General features: G+C 40.2%; 1 pseudogene, besides 1 other annotated feature; it reads right to left on the bottom strand.

The window, feature by feature from the left end:
• Positions 9,338-9,888: an enhancer, noted in NCBI's record as "NANOG hESC enhancer chr10:37824773-37825323 (GRCh37/hg19 assembly coordinates)". NCBI's record gives its function as "activates a minimal SCP1, AML or CMV promoter by ChIP-STARR-seq in naive H9 embryonic stem cells {active_cell/tissue: H9 hESC(naive)}" and the evidence as "EXISTENCE:reporter gene assay evidence [ECO:0000049][PMID:30033119]".
• Positions 14,975-22,723, bottom strand: TACC1P1 (transforming acidic coiled-coil containing protein 1 pseudogene 1; annotated as a pseudogene).

Raw genomic sequence — 23,842 nt, 5'->3', positions numbered from 1 at the left:
TGGTCATCTCGCAGTTTAACTCCCAGGAAAAAGATAAAGTCATTTTCCTTATTTACAAGATTTTGGCCAGTCACAGTGGTGCATGCCTGTTGTCCCAGCCACTTGGGTGGCTGAGGTAGGAGGATCTCTTGAGCCTAGGAGTTCAAGGCTGCAATGAGCTATAATTGTGCCACTGCACTTCAGCCTGGGTGACAGAGTGAGATCTTGTCTCTTAAAAAAAAAAATAAATAAATAAATAAATAAAAATAAAGATTTTGGTATGCCTCCTTACCACTACTCCCAAGTTTTGAAAATAGGACTAGCTGACATCTTTCATTAACAACTTGATGCTATTTTATAAAGCTTTAAAAGACCTATAGCTGAGGGGCTTAACCACTTTCAGCATACTGTAAAAATAAAATTGCTACACCTTCCTTTAAGAACAGGTGTAATTGTCAAGAAACACACAAACCAAACTTACTAAATACAGCACAGAAATATAACAGGAGAGGGTGGTAACTGATTAATGGTACACAACAGGGTCTTTCATATTTTTTCAGATAACCAAGGAAGGCCTAGCAGTGACCTATTTTGAATGAAGGCTGTTCAAGAAACTCAATACAGGAATCAGAGAGTTGAACTGTTTAGTCAAAGAATAGATGAAAGTAGGAAACAACCGTGTGTGACTACAAAAACATTTAAAAATGTTTAGGCATGAGCATATATCCTCTGTAAAATAAAAGCACTGATTTAGTTACATATGTGAACAAAGCTGGCAAATTTAGACATTTAAAATATCAGGGCTGAAAGATAAAGAAAGGTACAAAATTCTCAAGAATATTTCAGATTGTAAACATTTTTCCCTGGACACCAGAATGTCAGGACTCCAGCACCAATGCCACAGGGAACCCTTTTTACAACCTAAACAAGCTGCAGGAAATAAGAACTTCCAGCCTGGGATAACTTGAGCCAGAAGAGATGCAATCTACCTGCTGGTACATGGGCCTTACAAAGAAATGGAGTGATAAGCAGACTAAACAGGAGAGTTTTACCCCTTCTCTCATTAATGTGAGCATGGTTGTCTTATCTGAGTCGCTGAGGCAGATCCCATCCGGGGGCTCTCACCTCCACAGGACACCAACACAGGGGCCTTCTCTGCAGAGGACTCCAGCAGCCCCTGTGGGGAAAAGGATTACATTGAATACATCAGTCTTCAGCTTCTTAACCCCAGATATCCTTCAACAACTTCCTCATTACTAAACTAATCACCCCCTTTAAAACAATGCAGGGGGAAAAATCAGCAGGGGGAAGCCTTTTAAAAAACAAATCTAATTACAGAAGTGTCTAAAGAGAAACTGTTATAATGAATATAGAGTGGTCTTATCTTCTGTTGAACAAACAACCTGGAAAAGTTTTCTTCTGATCTAAAAGGGGAAAAGTGTACTTATAATAGTGGTCACTCACCAAGAACCACATGGGTAAAAGAGAAACACACCCATGATTAAGTTTCTCATGATGATAAGCTCAATGTAAATGGAACTTTCTTTTTTTAAAACGCAAAAACAAAAACAAGTGACAGCTGCTCCCGTTACATGTTGATCCTTTGTATGTGTTTTATTTAGCTACTACAGGTGGAAATGTTTCTTTTTTTTCTTTTATTATTATTATACTTTAAGTTTTAGGGTACATGTGCACAATGTACAGGTTTCTTACATATGTATACATGTGCCATGTTGGTGTGCTGTACCCATTAACTCATCATTTAGCATTAGGTGTCTCTCCTAATGCTATCCCTCCCCACTACCCCCACCCCACAACAGTCCCCGGTGTGTGATGTTCCCCTTCCTGTGTCCATGTGTTCTCATTGTTCAATTCCCACCTGTGAGTGAGAACATGCAGTGTTTGGTTTTTTGTCCTTGTGATAGTTTGCTGAGAATGATGGTTTCCAGCTTCATCCATGTCCCTACAAAGGACATGAACCCATCATTCATTTTTTTATGGCTGCATAGTGTTCCATGGTGTATATGTGCCACATTTTCTTAATCCAGTCTATCATTGTTGGACATTTGGGTTGGTTCCAAGTCTTTGCTATTGTGAATAGTGTCGCAATAAACATACATGTGCATGTGTCTTTAGAGCAGCATGATTTATAATCCTTTGGGTATATACCCAGTAATGGGATGGCTGGGTCAAATGATATTTCTAGTTCTAGATCCCTGAGGAATCGCCACACTGACTTCCACAATGGTTGAACTAGTTTACACTCCCACCAACAGTGTAAAACTGTTCCTATTTCTCCACATCCTCTCCAGCACCTGTTGTTTCCTGACTTTTTAATGATTGCCATTCTAACTGGTGTGAGATGGTATCTCATTGTGGTTTTGATTTGCATTTCTCTGATGGCCAGTGATGATGAGCATTTTTTCATGTGTTTTTTGGCTGCATAAATGTATTCTTTTGAGAAGTGTCTGTTCATATCCTTTGCCCACTTGTTGATGGGGTTGTTTGTTTTTATCTCGTAAATTTGTTTGAGTTCTTTGTAGATTCTGGATATTAGCCGTTTGTCAGATGAGTAGATTGCAAAAATTTTCTCCCATTCTGTAGGCTGCCTGTTCACTCTGATGGTAGTTTCTTTTGCTGTGCAGAAGCTCTTTAGTTTAATTAGATCCCATTTGTCAATTTTGGCTTTTGTTGCCATTGCTTTTGGTGTTTTAGACATGAAGTCCTTGCCCATTCCTATGTCCTGAATGGTATTGCCTAGGTTTTCTTCTAGGGTTTTTATGGTTTTAGGTCTAACATTTAAGTCTTTAATCCATCTTGAATTAATTTTTGTATAAGGTGTAAGGAAGGGATCCAGTTTCAGCTTTCTACATATGGCTAGCCAGTTTTCCTAGCATCATTTATTAAATAGGGAATTGTTTCCCCATTGCTTGTTTTTGTCAGGTTTGTCAAAGATCAGATGGTTGTAGATATGCGGCATTATTTCTGAGGGCTCTGTTCTGTTCCATTGGTCTATATCTCTGTTTGGATACCAGTACCATGCTGTTTTGGTTACTGTAGCCTTGTAGTATTGTTTGAAGTCAGGTAGCATGATGCCTCTGGGTTTGTTCTTTTGGCTTAGGATTGACTTGGCAATGTGGGCTCTTTTTTGGTTCCATATGAACTTTAAAGTAGTTTTTTCCAACTCTGTGGAGAAAGTCATTGGTAGATTGATGGGGATGGCATTGAATCTGTAAATTACCTTGGGCAGTATGGCCATTTTCACAATATTGATTCTTCCTACCCATGAGCATGGAATGTTCTTCCATTTGTTTGTATCCTCTTTTATTTCATTGAGCAGTGGTTTGTAGTTCTCCTTGAAGGGGTCCTTCACATCCCTTATAAGTTGGATTCCTAGGTATTTTATTCTCTTTGAAGCAATTGTGAATGGGAGTTCACTCATGATTTGGCTCTCTGTTTGTCTCTTATTGGTGTATAAGAATGCTTGTGATTTTTGCACATTGATTTTGTATCCTGAGACTTTGCTGAAGTTGCTTATCAGCTTAAGGAGATTTTGGGCTGAGACGATGGGGTTTTCTAGATATACAATCATGTCATCTGCAAACAGAGACAATTTGACTTCCTGTTTTCCTAATGAATGCTCTTTATTTCCTTCTCCTGCCTGATTGCCCTGGCCAGAACTTCCAACACTATGTTGAATACGAGTGGTGAGAGAGGGCATCCCTGTCTTGTGCCAGTTTTCAAAGGGAATGCTTCCACTTTTTATCCATTCAGTATGATATTGGCTGTGGGTTTGTCATAGATAGCTCTTATTATTTTGAGATACGTCCCATCAATACCTAATTTATTGAGAGTTTTTAGCATGAAGGGTTGTTGAATTTTGTCAAAGGCCTTTTCTGCATCTATTGAGATAATCATGTGGTTTTTGTGGGTGGTTCTGTTAATATGCTGGATTACGTTTATTGATTTGCGTATGTTGAACCAGCCTTGCATCACAGGGATGAAGCCCACTTGATCATGGTGGATAAGCTTTTTGATGTGTTGCTGGATTCGGTTTGCCAGTATTTTACTGAGGATTTTTGCATTAATGTTCATCAAGGATATTGGTCTAAAATTCTCTTATTTTGTTGTATCTCTGCCAGGCTTTGGTATCAGGAGCCTTATAAAATGGGTTAGGGAGGATTCCCTCTGTTTCTATTGATTGGAATAGTTTCAGAAGGAATGGTACCAGCTCCTCTTTGTACCTCTGGTAGAATTTGGCTGTGAATCCATCTGGTCCTGGACTTTTTTTTGGTTGCTAAGTTATTAATTATTGCCTCAATTTCAGAGCCTGTTATTGGTCTATTCAGAGATTCAACTTCTTCGTGGTTTAGTCTTGGGAGAGTGTATGTGTCCAGGAATTTATCCATTTCTTCTAGATTTTCTAGTTTATTTGCATAGAGGTGTTGGTACAGTATTCTCTGATGGTAGTTTGTATTTCTGTGGGATCAGTGGTGATATCCCCTTTGTCATTATTTATTGCGTCTATTTGATTCTTCTGTCTTTTCTTCTTTATTAGTCTTGCTGGCGGTCTATCAACTTTGTTGATCTTTTCAAAAAACCAGCTCCTGGATTCATTGATTTTTTGAAGGGTTTTTTGTGTCTCTATTTCCTTCAGTTCTGCTCCAATCTTAGTTATTTCTTGCCTTCTGCTAGCTTTTGAATGTGTTTGCTCTTGCTTCTCTAGTTCTTTTAATTGTGATGTTAGGGTGTCAATTTTAGATCTTTCCTGCTTTCTCTTGTGGGCATTTAGTGCTATAAATTTCCCTCTATACACTGCTTTGAATGTGTCCCAGAGATTCTGGTATGTTGTGTCTTTGTTCTCGTTGGTTTCAAAGAACATCTTTATCTCTGCCTTCATTTTGTTATGTACCCAGTAGTCATTCAGGAGCAGGTTGTTCAGTTTCCATGTAGTTGAGTGGTTTTCAGTGAGTTTCTTAATCCTGAGTTCTAGTTTCATTGCACTGTGGTCTGAGAGATAGTTTGTTATAATTTCTGTTCTTTTACATTTGCTGAGGAGTGCTTTACTTCCAACTATGTGGTCAATTTTGCAATAGGTGTAGTGTGGTGCTGAAAAGAATGTATATTCTGTTGATTTGGGGTGGAGAGTTCTGTAGATATCTATTAGGTCAGCTTGGTGCAGAGCTGAGTTCAATTCCTGGATATCTTTGTTAACTTTCTGTCTCATTGATCTGTCTAATGTTGACAGTGGGGTGTTAAAGTCTCCCATTATTATTGTGTGGGAGTCTAAGTCTCTTTGTAGGTCACTCAGGACTTGCTTTATGAATCTGGGTGCTCCTGTATTGGGTGCATATATATTTAAGACAGTTAGTTCTTCTTGTTGAATTGATCCCTTTACCATTATGTAATGGCCTTCTTTGCCTCTTTTGATCTTTGTTGGTTTAAAGTCTGTTTTATCCGAGACTAGGATTGCAACCCCTGCTTTTTTTTGTTTTCCATTTGCTTGGTAGATCTTCCTCCATCCCTTTATTTTGAGTCTATGTGTGTCTCTGCACGTGAGATGGGTTTTCTGAATACAGCACACTGATGGGTCTTGACTCTTTATCCAATTTGCCAGTCTGTGCCTTTTAATTGGAGCATTTAGCCTGTTTACATTTAAGGTTAGTATTGTTATGTGTGAATTTGATCCTGTCATTATGATGTTAGCTGGTTATTTTGCTCGTTAGTTGATGCAGTTTCTTCCTAGTCTCGATGGTCTTTACATTTTGGCATGATTTTGCAGTGGCTAGTACCGGTTGTTCCTTTCCATGTTTAGTGCTTCCTTCAGGAGCTCTTTTAGGGCAGGTCCGGTGTTAATTAAATCTCTCAGCATTTGCTTGTCTGTAAAGGATTTTATTTCTCCTTCACTTATGAAGCTTAGTTTGGCTGGATATGAAATTCCGGGTTGAAAATTCTTTTCTTTAAAAATGTTGAATATTGGCCCCCACTCTCTTCTGGCTTGTAGAGTTTCTGCTGAGAGATCAGCTGTTAGTCTGATGGGCTTCCCTTTGTGGGTAACCTGACCTTTCTCTCTGGCTGCCCTTAACATTTTTTCCTTCATTTCAACTGTAGTGAATCTGACAATTATGTGTCTTGGAGTTGCCCTTCTCAAGGAGTATCTTTGTGGTGTTCTCTGTATTTCCTGAATTTGAATGTTGGCCTGCCTTGCTAGATAGGGAAGTTCTCCTGGATAATATCCTGCAGAGTGTTTTCCAACTTGGTCCCATTCTCCCCATCACTTTCAGGTACACCAGTCAGACGTAGATTTGGTCTTTTCACATAGTCCCATGTTTCTTGAGGCTTTGATTGTTTCTTTTTATTCTTTTTTCTCTAAACTTCTCTTCATGCTTCATTTCATTCATTTCATCTTCCATTGCTGTTACCCTTTATTCCCGTTGATGGCATCAGTTACTGAGGCTTGTGCATTCGTCACGTAGTTCTTGTGCCATGGTTTTCAGCTCCATCAGGTCCTTTAAGGACTTCTCTGCATTGGTTATTCTAGTTATCCATTCATGTAATATTTTTTCAAAGTTTTTAACTTCTTTGCCATTGGTTCGAACTTTCTCCTTTAGCTTGGAGTAGTTTGATATTCTGAAGTCATTCTCCATCCAGCTTTGTTCCATTGCTGGTGAGGAGCTGCGTTCCTTTGGAGGAGGAGAGGTGCTCTGATTTTTAGAGTTTCCGGTTTTTCTGCTCTGTTTTTTCCCCATTTTTGTGGTTTTATCTACCTTTGGTCTTTGATGATGTTGATTTACAGATGGGTTTTTGGTGTGGATATCCTTTCTGTGTGTTAGTTTTCCTTCTAACAGTCAGGACCCTCAGCTGCAGGTCTGTTGGAGTTTGCTGGAGGTCCACTCCAGACCCTGTTTGCCTGGGTATCAGCAGTGGTGGCTGTGGAATAGCGGATATTGGTGAACTGCAAATGCTGCTGCCTGATCGTTCCCCTGGAAGTTTTGTCCCAGAGGAGTACACGGCCATGTGAGGTGTCAGTCCACCCCTACTGGGGGGTGCCTCCTGGTTAGGCTACTCGGGACTCAGGGACCCACTTGAGGAGGCAGTCTGCCCGTTCTCAGATCTGCAGCTGCATGCTGGGAGAACCACTACTCTCTTCAAAGCTGTCAGATAGGGACATTTAAGTCTGCAGAGGTTATTGCTGTCTTTTGTTTGTGCCCTGCCCCCAGAGGTGGAGCCTGTAGAGGCAGGCAGGCCTCCTTGAGCTGTGTGGGCTCCACCCAGTTTGAGCTTCCCAGCTGCTTTGTTTACCTACTCAAGCTTGGGCAATGGCGGGCGCCCCTTTCCCAGCCTCGCTGCCACCTTGCAGTTTGATCTCAGACTGCTGTGCTACCAATGAGTGAGGCTCCGTGGGCGTAGGACCCTCCAAGCCATGTGCGGGATATAATCTCCTGGTGTGCCGTTTTTTGAGCCCATTGGAAAAGTGCAGTATTAGGGTGGGAGTGACCTGATTTTCCAGGTGCCGTCTGTCACCCCTTTCTTCGACTAGGAAAGGGAATTCCCTGACCCCTTGCACTTCCCAGGTGAGGGGATGCCTCTCCCTGTTTTGGCTCACACACGGTGCACTGCACCCACTGTCCTGCCCCCACTGTCCGGCACTCCCCATTGAGATGAACCCAGTACCTCAGTTGGAAATGCAGAAATCACCCATCTTCTGCATCGCTCATGCTGGGAGCTGTAGACTGGAGCTGTTCCTATTTGGCCATCTTGGCTCCACCCCCTGCAGGTGGAAATGTTTCTAAAATACTAACTTTCAGGACTAAGGAGGCAGAAATAGCAGATATATTTGAACTCCGAACCACTCTTCCACCCAGATGATTCAGGATCATAATGAACTTCCACTGCTCCATAGCGACCTCCGGCCATAACCCAGCTTGCTGGGTGTCCGCCATTGTTGGTTGTATGCAAAACGGCCATATATAAGTCAAGGTCCATGCCTGTGTGTTGGTTATTCCTTGCTACTAAGTTTTTCACTCCCTTCCGGGCAGCACTTTGCCTTCTGAGGTGGTGGCTCCCTTCTATTATAAACCCAGGTTCCAGAAGGTTCCAGAGCCAAACACTGGCAAGTGTTGTTTTTTGTTTGTTTGTTTGTTTGTTTTTTCACAAGAACTTGGACTTTGTAGTATTTTTCCTTCCCAAAAGGATTTTTTGCTGGCTATTCCTCCCACCTACAGAAGTAAACTTTTTATATAAATGAGTCATTTAATACTTTGGGAAATCCAAAATGCCAAAGTGACCTGGAATAATCTTAATCTTAAATGTGGGCATAACTGATCAATTATTGATTATAATCAATCAGTTATATCTTGTGTGAACAAATACTAAACAGAAAGTCTAAGGTGAACTTAGACCAGTGGCTTTTAAATTTTTCAGTCATTATAGTTTTACCCTTTCTCTAGGAAACACTCAGAAACAGAATTTTAGCATGTGTTACAGAGCAGTAGATAGCTGATACACTCCTAGACATATGCACCATCTCATTAACCTCCTGTGCCTTATTTCTTATCAAGAAACTGTAACTTGCCTAAAGGGAGGTATTACAGGAAGTCAAGTTGACACTTGATTCACCTTGCTGTTACACTTCCAAGTCTAAATTAATAGCATTTCGTTGGTCAGTCTCTTGTGAGTTCTTAGTTTAAGCCAGACTCCCCAGGTTAAGTCAACTTTAGGAAACAGACTCTCAGGGCTTCCCATGGCTACAAGGTTCATGAGAATTTGGGAAATAAGCCTCCTAAAAATCTTCTTAGCCAGGAAAACATCAATGTCCATTACAGAGTTTGGCATCTCAGTCATTTCTTGAGGGGGCAAATGCATTCAGTCTATCTGCTTAACAACTTAATGCTAACACATGTGGGGTCAGAACAGGCAGCATACTGAGCTGGAGGTGGGAGATCAGACTTTGGATGGTTTTTGATGTCTCCAGGCAAGTGGACTCTTCAGCTTGGCAGCTCTCCCCGGCCACTCTTCTCTTGGCCTGGCCACATCTACAAGCCTCACTACTCAAAATGCAACAGCTCTCACAGGTGTAAGGGCAGGAATGTATGACACGGCCTACTTTAGCCATCTTTTCCAGTCTCCTAGGATTTAACTTTTTATATTCCTTAGTCCTTGAAGTTGCTTACCAAAAAGTGCAGAATAGCTAACAGGAGTATCCGAGGGAGAGAATACAGTCATGGATTCTTAGTTGTTGTTTCTGGTTGGGACAGTAAAGCTCCTTCCTCATCCGTCTTTTCTGCTTATCACTAGAGACAGAAACTAAAAACCATGGCTTCAGGCTGATAAAAGCCTAAAACAAAACAAAACAGAACAACAACAACAAAATTAAGCAAGCTGGACAACCTTATTATAGAAGCTACCATCACACAGAATTGACCAGAAGATCTCTTTCAGGCCTGGGCCATCCAGTGTGTCTTTAATTAACATGCTAAATCAATCAATCATATCCTTCCAAAAGGGCCTCATTTCATGTTTGCCAAATGCTTCTCCCAGTCCCTCAAAACGTTCACAATTGAAGACCAACAAAGACCAGTGTATAGACAATAGAACTCAATGGACTCCCGGTTGCAAATCTATAGTGAGCACAGATGCCACAGATTCCTGTGGCTATGTCCTCATGGCAGGAGAATTTGCATCACTGATCTGTGGCCATATGCTGACTGTGCTCATCCTGTCATTTGTCCTCAATCACAATGGAGCAGTACCAGCCCCTGCTGTACTCTAACAGTGACACTCCCAGAAAAGCCAAATGAACTCAGCTCTTAAGAAATTTAAAACTTAAAAAGAAAAGTTAACTTCCTACATCAAAAATGCTGCAGAACAACAGCTGAAAAGCAAGGTGAGACTGACTCCCCACCACTGACTGTACTCTGGCCTTAGTCCCAGCCACCACCTACTGCTGGGCACAAACTGCATAGGAATGGACTTCAGAGTGACACAGAGAAACTTAAAAAGTAAATGCTGGATTAAACAGATTTCTTCATTCCATGTTTTGCTTGCTGAAATTTCTTTATACAATGTTTATTCAGTGCTTTAAGGATGTAGAAATTAATTTATGTTGGGAAGTTCAAAGGGAGTTGCTCTTAAAAGGTCACAGCATATAAGTTACTCACCAGCTGGCTCCAGAGACAGTGTTTGTCATTCTTCCTTTTCACTCTTTTCTTTTTCACTGTCTTTTTTCACACTCTTTCCCACGTATTTCCTATCAACATTACACCAGTGTATTCTAGCACACCACTAGTGTATTCTAGCACTTTACAGCTTAAATCTTTCACACTGTCATTTCATCTTATCCTCACAACTACTCTGAAGAGGCAGATGGGTGCTGCTCATTTTATGGGTGAATAAGTTGGGAATCAGGAAGTTTAAAGTTTGTTTCAAGAACTGAGTAAACCAGCCAGGTGTGGTGGCTCATGCCTGTGATCCCAGCACTTTGGGAGGCCAAGGTGGGCAGATCACTTGAGCTCAGGAGTTTGGGACCAGCCTAGGCAACATGGCAAGACCCCATCTCTACAAAAAATACAAAAATTAGCAGGTATAGTGCCATGCTCATGTTGTCCCAGCTAGTTGGGATGCTGCAGTGGGAGGATCACTTGAGCCCAGGAGGTGGAGGTTGCAGTTAGCTGAGATTGCACCACGGCACTCTAGCCTGGGTGACAGAGTGAGACTGTCTCTAATAATAATAATAATAATAATATACCTTAGTTAACCCAATATATCCAAAATATTATGTCAACATGTAGTTAATATAAAATATTGAGACATTTTATGCTTCTTTTTGTACTGAGTCTTCAAAAAATGGTTGCACATTACACATACCGGATATCTCAATTCTGACTAGCTATGGTTCAAGTGCTCAACAGCTACCTGCAGCTAGGGCTACTGTACAGAACACTGCAGAGACTACATGTTCCTCAAGTGAAGAAACTGTGTCTTATTTGTATTTTATCCTCATCACCTAACACTGACCAGAGTTTAACAAATTCACATGGGCTTCAAAACAAATACTGAAAGAAACCCGAGCCCCACCTGGCCCTCCACATTCAGGAACTTACAAGCATGGTGGACACGTCTTCTTCCACCTTTTGGCACGTCTCCTTCTCTATGCCTAAGACAGAAAGTCATTTTTATAGTTATCCCAATAAGTTGGTTGCTTTTCCCCCTAGTGAAAGGCTCTTGGAAACCCCAGTGCAGGCCAAGAATGACAGTGAACACATAAACAGCATTCCAAAATTTTATTTAAAAGGAGCGCTGGCATTCTGCTGAGCGCTGTGCAGTTCAGCATTACAAGTCCATGACATTCAGAAGAAGAGCACAGGTTAGTCAGCCACAAACAGGTCATCAACCTTCAGGCAGAAAGAACAGCAAGCCTGCACCCTTGTGTCCATTACAATTTTGGCTAATGCACTGGACTAACCATGGCATTACGGCAGAAAGTGAACACACTGTAACACTGATTTTTTTTTTTATCATCAAGTCTGAATGAACTTAAATTCCAGCCCAGAAGAGTGGCCTTGATCTAATTAATGCAGCAGATAAGATAATAAGCTTTAAAATTTAAGCCAGCAAATCTAAACTCATTCTTCCTCCATACCCTTCAAATGGGCTTCCTCATCTCAGGTCTATCCTCTACTCTACTAGGGTGGAGGGTGACATTTAAAATAACCAGAAGATGCACTCATTGAAGTAAACATAAAAATACAGAAAAGCATACAAAACTTTAAAGCTACAATCCTCCACATGGCAATCACTAACTACTATTGTTGTCAGTTAATTATTTAAAACACAAATGTGACCCTCACTCCCTTGTTCAAAAACCTTCAACCTCCCCACTCCCTACCAAAGGCTCAAGCCCAGATTCCATGGTATGACCTTGTTTCCCACTTGCCATGTACTCAGAGAAAGAAACTGGGCATTTTACCAACATGGCGGCTTCCTCCCCATGGCTGTGTGAGGGTCTCATTTCCCAGAAAACATCTAGGTAAGTAGCCATCAGGACCCAACTCCAAGTGGACACTCCCCAGGACATGGTCTGGATTCACCTAACAGGGCCTGTAGCCACCCCCACACCAGTACAGCAGCCTCCACTTGCCTGTGATGTGGCTGATCAGTTACAGTGTAGCCGGTTCTTTAAATCTCTTCCCCCTTTTTAAATCTGGTTCCCAATAAGGAACCAACTTATTGGGATAACTATAAAAATGACTTTCTGTCTTAGGCATAGAGAAGGAGACGTGCCAAAGGATGGAAGAAGACGTGTCCGCCATGCTTTATAAGTTCCTGAACGTGGAGGGACAGGTTGGGCTCAGGTTTCTTTCAGTATGAAGATAGCATACAGTACTATCTTCAAAGTTAGCAAACAGTAGGGGGAAGAGATGTAAACAAGTGTCCCAGCTGTCTGTATAAATTTTCGTTGAAGGAATTTCCTCGGGTGAGGAAGAATATAATTCAATAAATGTTTACCATGTACTGTGTCAAAGGTGACTCGAAAATGACCGTCTCCTAGTCTCTAACCTCAGTAAGTTTATAATATTACTTTCCTGTAATTGACACACTGCACTAGGTGCTGTGGAACAGGAAGGGGAATAGGAAATGTCATGGGAGCATAAAGCATGCAGGAGAGACCTGAAGGGATGTGCAGATCTGTGTAGGAGGCAGCAAAGGAAAACACTTCAGATGGACGAAATGAAGGCAGGTGCAAGAATACTCAGGATTAACCCAGAGAAACCGGCAGAATGGTGAACACGGTCTTTGGGAAAGATGTCAGGGCAGAAGGCAGTGTTGGACAAAATCAGGAACAATGCTTGGCCCAATATTTTATAGAAGAGAGACTGGGATCTGAGATGGGAAGGAGACCAGGGGGAATAAATTGCTCCAAGTCCTGACTTTCCATCTGCTTCCCTGGCTTAATGGCAGATCATGACTTTTAAAATTCTGTGCATAAAATGCCACAAATAAAATTATGTTGTTTAAGAAGATCTAAGTTTTTAATAATGTTTAATGTAGTCAGGAACATGTTTCTAAACTTTTCATAAGTAAAGTTTAAAGCCATCCATCTAACTTGGTACCCAGGAGAGGGGCTTAGCTCTAGAATGATCTGAAAAGTCCATCAGTAAGAGGCTTCAGCCCTGCTTAGTCCAACTTCCTCATTAGCACTTTAAGAAAGATTTTACAGTGCACTGGTCAGTTTCAACCTAACACACTGTACCAGGAAAATTTACAGTAGCCTAGGGTCATTAAGATAATCTCTTCACACTTTGACATTGTGGCTAAACGATCATGGAACCAGACTGCTTAGAGTCAAATGTAGTTCTACCATTTACTACTGACAAGGTTCAGAACACACTTCACCAAAATCTGGTGCCTTCGCACCTGAGGACACAGCAGAAGCAGGAAGGTCTCTTGGCACCTCTCCTGCCCTCTCCCCTGAAGCAGGCCATAAAGGAATCCCTCAGACCTTCCCATGAAAATAGGTCATAAGACCTAATAACAGAGGGGTCCTCCCTACACCCAGAGAAAAACAAAGTCCTTATCCTGAAAGACACAGACACTAAGAGGAATTGAAATAAACAGGATTGACTAAGTTCCCCTAGTTTATTACCATTAGATCACACCCTTCTGTCCTCCAATTGTACTTCTGCACAACTCTCCATAAAAGTACAGTTTTCCCTGTTTGGGTCTTCATTTCTGGAGGCTCTAATGTCATGTAAAACTTATATTAAATATATTTGTATGCTTTTGTCTTGTTGATCTGTCTTCTGTTAGAGATGTCTCAGCCATGAACCTTGTGATGAGTGAGGAAAGATACCACTTTTCTTTCCTACACTTGCCAAGAGACTTTAGTCAAGTTACTTAACTTTTTGCCTTCTTTGTTTCTCTGAAAAAAGGAGAAAAGAGTAACACCTTGCTATGAATAAGTATATGCAAGGCACTTAGAACAATGCCTGCACATGATAAGGCACCATATGTATTAGTTATTATTTCTGTAAGTTAAACAATGAACATAAAAATCATAAAAAGTCAGACATATGACATATTTATTTTATTTATTTTTTGTTTTACTTTAAGTTCTGGGATACTTGTGCAGAATGTGCAGGTTTGTTACATAGGTATATATCTGCCATGGTGGTTTACTGCACCTATCAGCTTGTCATCTAGTTTTTAAGCCCAGCACGCATTAGGTATTTGTGTTTATGCTCCCCCTCCCATTTTCCCCCACCCCCCTGACAGACCCTGGTGTGTGATTCTCCCCTTCCTGTGTCTATGTGTTCTCATTGTTCAACTCTAACTTAAGAGTAAGAACATGTGGTGTTTGGTCCTCTGTTCCTCTGTTACTTTGCTGAGAATGATGGCTTCCAGCTTCATCCATGTCCCTGCAAAGGACATGAACCCATTTTTTTTATGGCTGCATAATGTATGACATATTTATAGGCCATCTGATATAGTTTGAATATTTATCCCCTCTGAATCTCATGTTGACACTTAATCCCAATGGTGGAGGTGAGTGAGGCCTAATGGGAGGTGTTTGGGTCATAGGGGCGTATCCCGCATGAATAGCTTGGTGCCTTCCTTGTGGTAATGAGTGACTTCTTGGTCTCTTAGTTTCTGCAAGATATGTCTCTTAAAAACAGCTTGGCATCTTCCTACCCCTCTCTCTTCCTCCTTCCCTCTCGCCATGTGACCACTTGCTCCCCTTTGCCTTCTGCCATTATTGGAAGCTTCCTGAGTCCCTCACCAGAAGCAGACACTGGTGCCATGCTTCTTCTACAGCCTGAAGAAAAATGAACCAAATAAACCTCTTTTTCTTATAAATCATCCAGTCTCAGGTATTCCTTTACAGCAACGCAAATGAACTAACACACCACTACAAGATATGGCCATATTGACAGAAAATTATAAAGAAATTCAAGCAGTCTCACACACATCAGCGTCTCCTATACAACTTGCCACAAGTATCCCTATGTTCCTAGTACTTCAATAAGCACTTTTGTTAGTGTCCACTTTCTCGATAAAGAAGCAAAAGCATAGGTCAATAATCCTAAATCTATCCTTCCAGTGACCCAATTCTTTAAGCTCTGTAAGGTGCCTCCTGCTTCATTAGGCTTTCAGGCATTTCTATGCATATATACATTAGAAAGATGAAGATATGCTTCCATACCTGCTTCTGAGGATGAAAACGCATGATTTATGGTAGACATGGGAGCACTGGAACATTCAAAGTACTCCAGGTCTCCCTCTGGTCACCTTTCACCTTGCCCGCACCTGATTTCTGACCACATGACGTGGATGTCAGTTTCTCCTCATTGGTAGCGTGGACATCCCTATTAGAAATGTCTGAAATCTGGTAGATCACTGCCCCTTCATCCTGAGAAACACAACAAAGAAGATGTTACCCTTTAGGAGGGCAAGCAATGGGGAAAAGTGACATCTCATGAATGGAACCAAGTGGATACAACTCCATAAAGATATCTGAGGGAGTTAGCCACAGATCTGGGTACAAAGCAAGGAGGAAGCTGGAACTTTCAATTGTGACATGCTGTTTTATAGAACCTAGGTTCTGTAATTTGAGTCTGAGGTTTTAAAAAATGAGCTTCTCTAGGCTAAGTTTATCAGCAAGCAGTTTAAGTGGTCTAAGACAGTGGTTTTCAATTTTTTTTGATCAGATACCTCCTAATTTTTTTAAATCTATGTACCCCATTTCATTTTCAAATGACATCTAAACACTTTTCAGCATAAGTTTAAATAATTGCAAAGAATGTAATATCTGCCTTATTCTAAATATTGAATTTGCTTAATGCTATCTAGTTACCTTTGTGATATGATACCATATGATCCATTTTAAATTTACACAAACAAGTTCCTGAATAAGTCAGAAATTTACGTTATTCATTTTCCATTACGTTATTCATTCCACTTCCATCAAGAAATTATCCCAATGAAAAACATCTGCATGACTGAAAGTCTTTTAAAGGTCTCTATCCAATGCCTCTGTTACATTTTTTTCTTTGACTATAAGTCTTGAGGTGTTAAATTTTTTTTTCTGCTGATGAGTTATTGTTACATTTACTAATGCACAACTTATTTTCAAAATATTGCAAGTTTTGATAAGTATTAGACACAAAAGTAAATTTTTATATCATCTACAAAATGTTTTATTGCACTAATTCTTAAAAACTTTTACAGTACAAAAATATGTGGGTTTGGGTTTTTCTTTAAAGAAAACAAAAGATAAATTTCTCATAGTTCTTGTTGCCTACATTAGCAAAATTTGAGGGAGAATCTTTTACACATTTGTAACAGATGAAAAATAACTCAGATTGCAAATTTCCCCCCACTGCACCCCTTTTTTTACATCTTACACCATATACCAAATTTCTGGTCCAAATTGTACAGAATAAGTTATGTTAAAATTGAATTCTATTAGCCAATATGAATGTATTTCTAAAATCATAAGCATACTGACATAAAGTTTTAAAAAGAACAAAAGGATCTCGTTGCAATCAGATGGGCTTGGGTTTTGGTTTATGTGTGTTTTGCAATTAGTTCATATGGTCATGGATGCATACTGTTTATTGCTAGAATGTAACAGAGGTCAATGTCAATTTTATTCATGATTTCTATTTTTATAATTATAATTATTAAGAAACCTTATTTATATAAACGATAGATGAAACAGAAGGTAGTTCTGTAACAGAAGGACTTTCAATTCTTTGAACCCCTTTCCAAGTCATGTGCCCAAAAATTCTATCATCAAAGATTATTTTTAGATCTATCAGCTAACAACTCAGGTCTTCTTATTTTGTCGAAACCAATGAATTGGGAAACCATCTGACTTAAGAAAAATATCTTTCAGTTATTAGAGTCAATTATCTTCTTAGAACCTATACCAATATTTCAGATCTTCCCTTTGGTGCCCTGGAGACTTTCACACCCTGTGGTGATGCATCTTTGTAGCTTTTAGTGAGAGTTTTACAAAAAAAAAAAAATGGAGACAAAGAGAGAGAGAGAGTCATTGTGAAAGGGTTCCCTTTTCTTCAGGCGCCTTTTCTTCAGGGACAGTGAGGATCTGGAAATTGGTTTCTCAGGCACTCATTGGAAAGTCCTTATGATCCACTCCCGCTGGGGGACCCCTGGTCTAAGAGACATTCTGGGGATGAGCACAGACTCACCTGAGAACATGCACCCAGGCAAGAGACTGAGTTTCATGCTTCTTCACCTTAAAGCCACTCCTGGCAAGAGAAGAAACATAAAAAAGCTAATTTGGAACCACACTGACAACTGTCAAGGTATGAAATGGGACAGAGAGCAGTGTGTGCAGATAGAAGCCAAAGCGTACAGCACCACACACACCATACATCTACCTGTGAGAGAGGCAGGGACACCTTTTATGCCTCTGAGTTTTCTCTGGAGAGAAGAGGTAAGCAAAGACCTAGAGCGGGGCTCATTCTCTGAAAAGACCCCCTTGCTTGCTTCTGTGAGTTTTCAAACACTAGCACTCTGATGTCTATGGTTTTTAATTACACACCACCAAAAGCTTTTCAGACAGTAGAGCCTTAGCAGCTGGAGACATTCAGTTCCTCTGAGCCTCCCTTGCTTGGCTTTGACATTCATTAGAAAAATCATCACGCTGGACTGGTTTCTTTAAAAATTCTTTATTTCACCAAAAGCCACAGAAGTCTCATAAAACAGTTCCAGTTAGACTTGTGTGTTCACAGACAAGAACTGTGGTCAATAAAAAGTGTAAAAATAAAAATATGTGAGTAAACGGTTACCATTCCTATTAAGTAGTAAGATGGAAGATGAATGCCACATATTACACCAAGCCTGAAGCTGGGGAAAGCTTGAACCACCTGTTATTTGTAGACTAGCACAAAATTTGTGATTACAGGACTAATTGAGATTCTGTTCTGTTTTAATAAACTTAGAATTTTCAGTAAAAACACCGTGACCAAAAAAAGAAAAAAAATTTGCAACTTCTTTCTTTTGCAAGAAAAAATAAAAAGACAACCACATAAGTTACCAGAATGTGCATAATCATTACTTCATGATCTTCTTTCCCTAGTTTTCCTACTGAGTGCCACCCTCTGCCACCAAACTCAAGTTGAGCTGACTCAGTAAAATTAACTGTTCCAAGCCAGTAGCTTTATCTTACCAAAAGTCAATGATTTCCAATATTAAATAGCAGAACAGTCCCTCAAACCACTGCTTGAGGCCAAGCCAGCTCTTGGTATTGTCAAAGCACCACGTGACACTTGCCAGGCTAGGGAGTGCAAGTTCTCACACCTAAGGTGTAAAGGCCAAGCCCCACTCCCTGAGGTGCGGACACCTACAAAGCTTAGCTAACTCATGAAGTGGCCAGTGAAATACAAAAAATCATCAAAAGATCAAACTCAGAAGCAAACCATGCTATGGAGAGATGGCTCAGGGAGGATGGGAGAGAAAACTGCCAATGGTCCCAGGGACAAACAGAAACAGCAGGAGTACTTACAACAGAAAACAGAGAAATTTCACTTGTTTAATAATCCCGATGCACCAACAAAATTAAGAGACAGGAAAGACACAGAGGGAGAAAAAAATCATGTAAAGACTGGAATATTCAACTCCAGTCTTGCAGATGTAAAAGCTGCACAATTCTTTCTATGAGGTGAGATACTAATTTAAAATGTCATATTCATGAATGTTATCACTAGTGAGTGAATGATTAACAGACCTCAACCATAAGAGAGACTGGTAGAAACACTCAGAAATGCCGCAAATTCAAATTTGTAGATGAAAAGTAAACTTCCAAGAGGTCTAGCACTGCTTTCTTGTATAAAGAACAAGAAAACAAGATTTTTGGTTGCATAAGGACCTTTAAAAAAACCTATTAAGTGTATTAGATCAAGAAGTTCATTTGACAAAAACAGAATAGGGGAAAAAGGCTACCTACCAGGTGAGGGTGGTAGGACTCGAAAGATGGTATTTCTTGCTACTGATTATAAAGTGTAGAATGAATTACCCTCTCTTTGGCCCAGATTTCATCTTATTTGACATGAATGCACTGCTTGCATGCAACTGAAAGGCTCACAAACGACTCCTTATCGACTTCAGTAGGCTGAAACATCTCACATTTAGAGGAGGAAGTAACTAGGCAGTGATGTGCCCAGTACATACCCCAACTACTGTCTAGAGAGAACTAAATAACCTTAAAAGCCACAAAAGAGGGCACCAAGTCAATAATATTTTTCAACAACCATTTAACTGCTGATATATAATCAAAGAACAGATCCAGAGTTACTAATGACATTTCACTCCCCTTAGACGTTCTGGGGCTGCTGAAGAACTGACTCCTACATCGCTCTATTTTCTTGGTACTTTAGTCCATCCTTCTGCTCTTTAAACTTCTGGGTGTCTTCCTTTCTGCTGTAACTCACCATGGCATCTGGAGTTTTTCTTTAAGTCATAGCAACACTGAGAAGCATTTCCCCAACTGATCTATAGTGACAACTACAAACACAGTGCTTCTTGCACTCCTTTTCCATACTTCATGCTGCAACTCCTTGGTCCTTCTTTATATCTACATTTTACTGAAACGTTTTAGCAAAATGTCACAGGGCCGCAAAAGGAAGTACAGTCATGTGCCACGTAATAAACTTTCGGTCATGTGGTGGTCCCGTAGGGTTATAATGGAGCAGAAAAACTATTGCCTAGTGATGTCCTGACAATCCTGACCCTGTGTAAGCCTAGGCAATTTGTGTGTCTGTGCCTTAGTTTTTAACAAAAAAGTTTAAAAAGTAAACAAATAAGTAATTTTAAACAAAGAAAACTTATGAACTAGGGATATAAAGAAATAAAATATTGTGTATAGCTGTTCCATGTGTTTGTTTTTTAAGCTAATTACTATTACAAAAGAGTCAAAGCTTCTTTAAAAGTTCAAAAGTTGATAAAGTAAAAGAGTAAATTTAATTTACTATAGAAGGAAGAGTTTTTAAAAATAAATTTAGTGTACCTGAAGGATACAGTGTTTATACAAGCTACAGTAGTGTACAGGAATGTCCTAGGCCTTCACATTCACTCACCACTCACTCATTGACTCACTCAGAGCAACTTCCAGTCCTGCAAGTTCCATTCATGGTAAGCGCCCTCTACAGGTGTATTATTTTTTATCTTTTATACCATATTTTTACTGTACCTTTTCTATGCTTAGATATGTTTAGATACACAAATGCTTACGACTGTGTTACAATTGCCCACAGTAGTTTGTTTTCTTGTTTTTTTGTTTGTTTGTTTGTTTTGTTTTGTTTGTTTTTAGACAGGGTTTTGTTCTGCCAGCCAGGCTGCAGTACAATGGCAAAATCATGGGTCACTGCAGACTCAACCTCTTAGGCTCAAGCAATCCTCCTGCCTCAGCCTCCTGAGTAGCTGGGACTACAGGCATGCACCACCACTCCCAGCTATTTTTTTTAAAAAACTTAAGAGACAGGAGGTGTGTTTTGGCAGCGGGGGGCATCTCACTATGTTGACCAGGCTGGTCTCAAACTCCTGGCCTCAAGGGATCCTCCCACCTTAGCCTCCCAAAATGTTGGTATTATAAGTGTGAGGCATCACACCTAACACCTATAGTATTCAGTACAATAATGTGATGTACAGGTTTGTAGCCCAGGAGCAATAGGTTGTACCATTTAGCCTAGGTGTGTAATAGTCTACATCACCTAAGTTTGTGTAAGTTGACTTTATGATGTTCACACAAAAAAATCACCTAAGGATGCATTTCTCAGAACTACCCTGTGGCTAAGCGATGTATGACTGTATTATAATGTACTCAACTAAAGTTTTGTGATAAACTAATCCTGTAGCAAAGTTAAACTGAAACTTGATATAGAATGTGACCTTAAGTGATTACGCTGAAAACTCCAAGGACCTTGCAAAAGTCAGATGATTTCCCAGGAGAGATGAGAGATGGGGGGACTGATTAAACCAACTAATTTACTCAGTTTTATCTGATCATTTAAAATATTCTTGATTCTAATTGGAAATTTACCTCCTTGCTGATGAGTTAGAAACTACATATGGAAACAAGAATGCTCACCAAATTTTAGTGGTAGATTTGTTTCCAACAAAAGATCACAGTTTTCTGTTTATGTAAAAAGACTTTCTACAAGACCCTTTTGAGCCATTTTCTACACGTTATTGATACTACATAGGTAATTTATAGGACTGGAATTTCTGTTTTTTCCATAAAGAATCTGAAGACAGTGGCCAGCACTGACATTTGAATTCTGTCTATAATGTGACTCCTGACAGCCTCGCCAGGATTTCTGAAAACCGTCGAATCTCTACCTACCTATCTTATGCCACTCTTTATTTTTTTTAAACATAAAGACGTCTCCAGGCCCAGGGAAAGGAGCTTACCTCATTAAGCTGAGGATTCAGAAACAAGACAACAATCTGAAAAGGAAACGTCTGGTATTTCTTTTCTTTTTTTTTTTTTTAATACTCTAAGTTTTAGGGTGCAGCACACCAACATGGCACATGGTATTTCTGATTCTACACAAGTTAGGCCAAATAGGGAAGACTATAGGATAATGTTATAAGCTTTGTATCAACCTTGGTGGACCTCAAAGGTAAATTCAGTTCACCAAAGCCAAAAGTAGCCATCTGACAAACTCACAGAGAAGACACAGAGCGTGACACCCAGCACCCACTGTCACTCATTATTCAATGTGACTTTGCCTTCTTGGGTGATTCTAATATTTCTTTAACATGATTTCCAGTGGGAGAACAAAAGTCACTGCTTGTTAAGGTCACAGTTGGTTTAAAGGGATCCATGGATTTATCAAAGTTATTTGGGTCAAAGTGGTAGAAGCCCTCAGAAGACAGGGTTGGGGAGTTCTGCAGAATGGAGTGGCTCCCAAAGGGGTTGAAGCTGGGCTTATCCCACTGACTAGGATCTAGCTTGGAAGACACTTGGGAGAGAGGCCCATCTTATGCCACTGTGTCTGTAGGCTTTTCGACACCTGCTTACTTACTGATACCATCTTTTTGTATCTTGTGAGTCAGTTTGCTACCCGGTTTCTTGCCAAGTTTCCTTGGAAGGGCTTTCGTAGTGCTGGGAGTTTCTTTAAGGTCAGGAGGAGACTTCTGGAACCCGGCACTTCCTAACAAAGAAGGACTTGTGTTCTCATCCACCTCTTCAGGACTGAAGTGGTAGGATGCCTTGGGGAGAGGTGTGCCTTCCACAGCAGTGCCGGCATCTGAGAACTCTCCTTCAATTGCTTTCTTCCTCAGAGGGACAGGCTTGGGCTTTCTCAGCTTGCTTCTTCTGCTGGGCACAGGCTCTAGACAGGAGTTTCCAACTTTTAGATCAGCTTCTGTGGAAGCCTCTAGGGTGACTCCCATGTCACCTTCTGTCATTGCCTTGTCCTGGAGGGCGTCTGGAGGGCTAGAAGGCAGGCCTTGCCTGAGACTGCAGTTACACAGCCATGAGCTGGTTTTGTTCTGACGGCTGCCAGGATACCCGTGGAATCCTTCGCTTCTATTGAAAATGGCCTCACGATGGAAATGTTGCTAAAATCATATTCAGGTTCTTTGAAATCCTTGACTGAGAAAGAGTCAATGGCCTTCTGTGGTGCCTCATTTTCTGACAGTTTAGAACAAGTCTCAGATGAACATTTTTCAACCACTTCTGCTACCAGCTTTCCTCATCAGCTTCCTGTGATTCTAAAATGAAACACAAAACCGTCCATTAAAGAATTGTCTTTCTGGCATTGGTAAATATTCTCTCCTACCTGAGTTCACATAAGCAAACAGCAAGTTCTTCCCTCTTTGCTTTTATTAAGCATCTCTAAAGTTCAGCAAGGACGGCAGCACAGCCTAAAAGAGAACAGCTGGCACAGCACCCTAAAATGAATTCTTGATCCCAAATTGTGTATGCGCATTATCCAAGTGATATGAATAACAAGTACACCAAAAGAGCTATTTAGAAAAATGATAGAGCAAGAGTCTATATGCTGCAATGCATATTATGTGATGTTAACATTCTATAGGTTAAAACTGGTCTGAACGAATTTTTAGAAACCAACAGCTTCAGTGCAGGGAGGCATATTGGCACTGAGACAGTTCCTAGGCACAGCCTGACAGCTTCAGGGTCAGAACTTTATGGAGTGAACAGATTTGAATCTTTGGATGTTAAAACCACAAGTATTCACAGAACAGAATTTATATAGACTGTTTCAAAAATAAATTAAAAAATAAATTAAGAAACCTACTGTGACCAGCTCAAAATCATCTCTCTGTAGACCTGAAAACTAAAAGAACCAAGAAAGCTAATTTGAAAAACCAGATACGGAAATGGTTTTAAAACAAATAGCCCTTATTTTACTAAGACACAAATTATAAAACAATGAAGTTATTTTTTCTTTAGAACCACTGTCTCTAAGCCAGGCCAGGAATTCTCTAAATCACTTGTGAAAAATAAAAATCATTTTTGACTGGGGTCATACTGGGATAAGAGCTGCAAATATTAGGAAGCTGTAAATGAGGTAATTTTGTTAAACTAAAGTGATTTCCTGACGTAGATACCTGAAACAAGGGTGGTAGAGAAAACTCAGTAAATAGGTGTACATAATATCTCATTATTTTAAAGGAAAATAAGAGATAACCCTCCAAATCCTATTTCATAATCCTAATCCAGGATCAGAGTCCAGTACCAGAAATATCACTAGAATAGCTTGTTGTTTGTTGTTGTTGTTGTTGTTGTTGTTGTTGCTTTTTTTTTTTTTCTTGAGACAGTGCCTCTGTTACCCAGGCTAGAGTGCAGTGGCGTGATAATGGCTTACTG

Source organism: Homo sapiens, chromosome 10 (genome assembly GCF_000001405.40).
Source record: "Homo sapiens chromosome 10, GRCh38.p14 Primary Assembly".
Classification (NCBI taxonomy): domain Eukaryota; kingdom Metazoa; phylum Chordata; class Mammalia; order Primates; family Hominidae; genus Homo; species Homo sapiens.
The sequence above is the reverse complement of the archived record's forward strand: the minus strand, read 5'-3'. Positions and strand labels throughout refer to the sequence as shown.